The sequence below is a fragment of the Homo sapiens genome, chromosome 2 (genome assembly GCF_000001405.40).
Source record: "Homo sapiens chromosome 2, GRCh38.p14 Primary Assembly".
Classification (NCBI taxonomy): domain Eukaryota; kingdom Metazoa; phylum Chordata; class Mammalia; order Primates; family Hominidae; genus Homo; species Homo sapiens.
In genome coordinates, this window is record NC_000002.12 from 103,493,933 (window position 1) to 103,497,132 (window position 3,200).

General features: G+C 40.0%; 1 pseudogene; it reads left to right on the plus strand.

Annotated features, from left to right (window-relative positions):
• CRLF3P1 (CRLF3 pseudogene 1) lies at positions 283–2,435 on the plus strand (annotated as a pseudogene).

Sequence of the window (3,200 nt, forward strand, 5' to 3'; positions counted from 1 at the left end):
TGTAGAAACCAGTATGCAAAGAATCAATATAATGAGGAGTGAAAAAGAAACAACAACTAGAGATTTGGAAGATATTAAATAAATACTATCAATAACTTTATGCCAATAAATTTGAAAAATTAGATAAAATGGAAATATTCCTAGAAAAATATAAAGTAAAAACAAACAAAAAAATAAAAATACAAGTTCAGCAAAAAACAGGAAATATGCATAATCCTACAGTCATTAGTATACTTACATCAGAAGATAAATATCTTCCCATCAGAAAACCCCAGACTCAACAGTCGGGAACCTGCTCTAGCAGCTGCATGAGGCAGGCGATGGAGCTGGAGCCTGAGCTGCTGCTGTAGGAGGCCCTTGAGAACGTGGAGGTGGTACAGAACTACTGGTGGGAGCTGGGTCACCAGCTTGAGGGGCTGTGGGAGGCATAGAGATCAAAGAGAGTGCATCACAGACAAGCGATGTTCTCAAACAACATTTTCATGATTTAAAGGGAACCCATGGGAAGCTCCTGGATGAGCGATTGGTGACCCTTTTGCAAGAGGTTGGCACCATTAAACAGACCATTAAACCACTAGATGATTGCCAGAAGCTCATAGAACACAGAGTTAACACTCCAGAGGGCTTAGTCCAAGAAGATGAGATTGCCATGCTTGGTGGTGTAGAAGAGAATGAGAAACTGTGGAGCTTTACCAAAAAGGCCTTGCATGTTCAGTTGGACAGCATACCAGAAGTACCTTTACTGGTTGATGTGCCTTGTTTATCTGCTCAGTTGGATGAGTGTATTCTTAACATCATGAAAGACCACATTCTTAAGCATGGAACAGTAGCATCTCGCCCACCAGTACAGATAGAAGAACTGATAGAGAAACCTGGAGGCATCATAGTACAATGGTGTAAGGTGGATGATGACTTTACGGCACAAGATGACAGGCTCCAGTTTCGTAAATGTACTTCAAATCGTTTTGAGGATGTATATGTAGGTTCCGAAACTGAATTCAGAGTATTGCACATAGACTCCAACGTTGAAGATCATTTCAGAATCTGCACCCGAAGAGATGGCTGACAGGAGCAGAGTCCTTGGAGTGTCCCCCAATTAGTTCATTCCATATCGGAGCCTCATGAGTGGACAGCTGGTTTTGAGAGGAGCAGTGTGAGCAATGGAAGAAATACGTCATGCCGGAACGATTCTAAATCTTCAGGTGTTCTCAACTCCAGAGCTCCAACTTATCTTTCTGGGCAGACATTAATATTTAGAGTTGAAACTGTGGAACTACCAGACAGAAGAGACTGTATAGGAGTGTGCCATAAAAACGGAATGTCGGCCGGGCACGGTGGCTCACGCCTGTAATCTCAGCACTTTGGGAGGCCGAGGCGGGTGGATCACGAGGTCAGGAGATCCAGACCATCCTCGCAAAGACGGTGAAACCCCATCTCTACTAAAAATACAAAAAATTAGCCAGGCGTGGTGGCGGGCGCCTGCAGTCCCAGCTACTCGGGAGGCTGAGGCAGGAGAATGGCGCGAACCCGGGAGGCGGAGCTTGCAGTGAGCGGAGATCGCGCCACTGCAGTCCGGCCTGGGAGACAGAGCGAGACTCCATCTCAACAGCAATAACAACAAAGCCGGGATAAAGCTGTATGCATTGGTACAAATGGTGCATTTTTGTAAATGGAAAAGAAATGCCTCATCAGTTACATGCAATTACTTCTGAGTCCACTGTCACATTTGACATTGAAGCTGTGACTCTAGGAACCACCAATAATAATGAAGGCAGAAACGTAAAGCTACAGTAACTCTTAGTTCAAATAATAGAGACGTGATTTTTGATTGGTTACTTGATCAATCTTGTGGTTGTCTTTACTTTGGATGCTCATTTTTCTATCCTGGATGGAAAGTGTTACAGTTTTAGATGTTCGGGTGCTTGGGTTTGGATTGCAGGATTTAACCTAGCTGTCCTCAGCCCAATTTAGTTGTAATTCATTTTTTTAAAAAAGTTGAATTAATCTCTCACTTGGGCCATTGGAAATGGAAAGTGTTTACTGGATTCATTTTGTAATATTTTAGCAAAAAGAGACTTCAATGTTGTGGACAAAATCGTGTAATTCAGTCAATTTTATTTTTAGCATGCTGGTAACTAAAGTTTCACATCATAATAAAAATAAAATTGGCTTCAAAAGTATGAGAAGACATAGAAATTCCTATACCCTTCCACTGTACTTCTTAAAGTTGGTTATTAGACCAGGAAAACTTAATGTAATATTATTTAAATAATCATCATAAAGGATCCAAGCCCATGTAAATCTTTAGAATTAAACAAGAGGAACAACCCAGATAGAAGATGTGTAATATGCAACCACTCATTTGCTGTCCACATGAATGTGTTGGCTGTGCTCTCCATGTTCAGGTATTTGCAAGCAGTGTTGACTTTTATCCCATTATAATTTTTGCATTTTTTAAAATGCGTGAGCAAATGTCTGTAGTAGGCAAGTATTATCTTTTGTTTATTTCATTGCAATTTGATTCAAGATAGGCTACAGTATTTTTACAGGGTAAAACTACTCGTGGAAGTTGTATGCACAGCACTGTTAGCCATTTATCATGTATGTAATATGCACATGTGTGTATCCAGCTTGTGACATGCATTTTACTCTTTGTAGGGTGTGAGCTGCAGTCCATTTTAATGTCAGTTTGAGAAATGAGGTCTCTTAGTGGACAAACAAAAATAAGGTAAATACTTAACCTATTTTTTTGAAAACCTAAATTTGTGTGTAAAATATTTATTTGAAGGACTTGCTTTATATGTAAAAGTAATTGTCTTAGCTTGCTATACCAGCTTACAGATTTTATTCTAGTGTGAATTATTTGTTTCATTTTTACCAGTAGTTAAAACATAGAAAAGCAAGTATGATATTTTTGTAAGATAATTTATTTGGGGATTCATGAACCCTGTTAGACAATCATGACCTTTTTTCCTTATCTTTTGACATGTAAGTACTTGCTCACAGAATCCTCCAAGAAGTTCTCATCCCAAGGTAGATGTCCCCACTGAAACAGGAGGACTCAGGAGGCTCATCTGAGAATCACAGTCATAACTAGGATGGGACATTGCTGTTGGCAATTTGCCAATGAGTGCAAGTGACTGAGGCAAATCCTAAGGTAGCTGGGAAAACCAAGACACTCAGAGATTTCCAAACTTTTC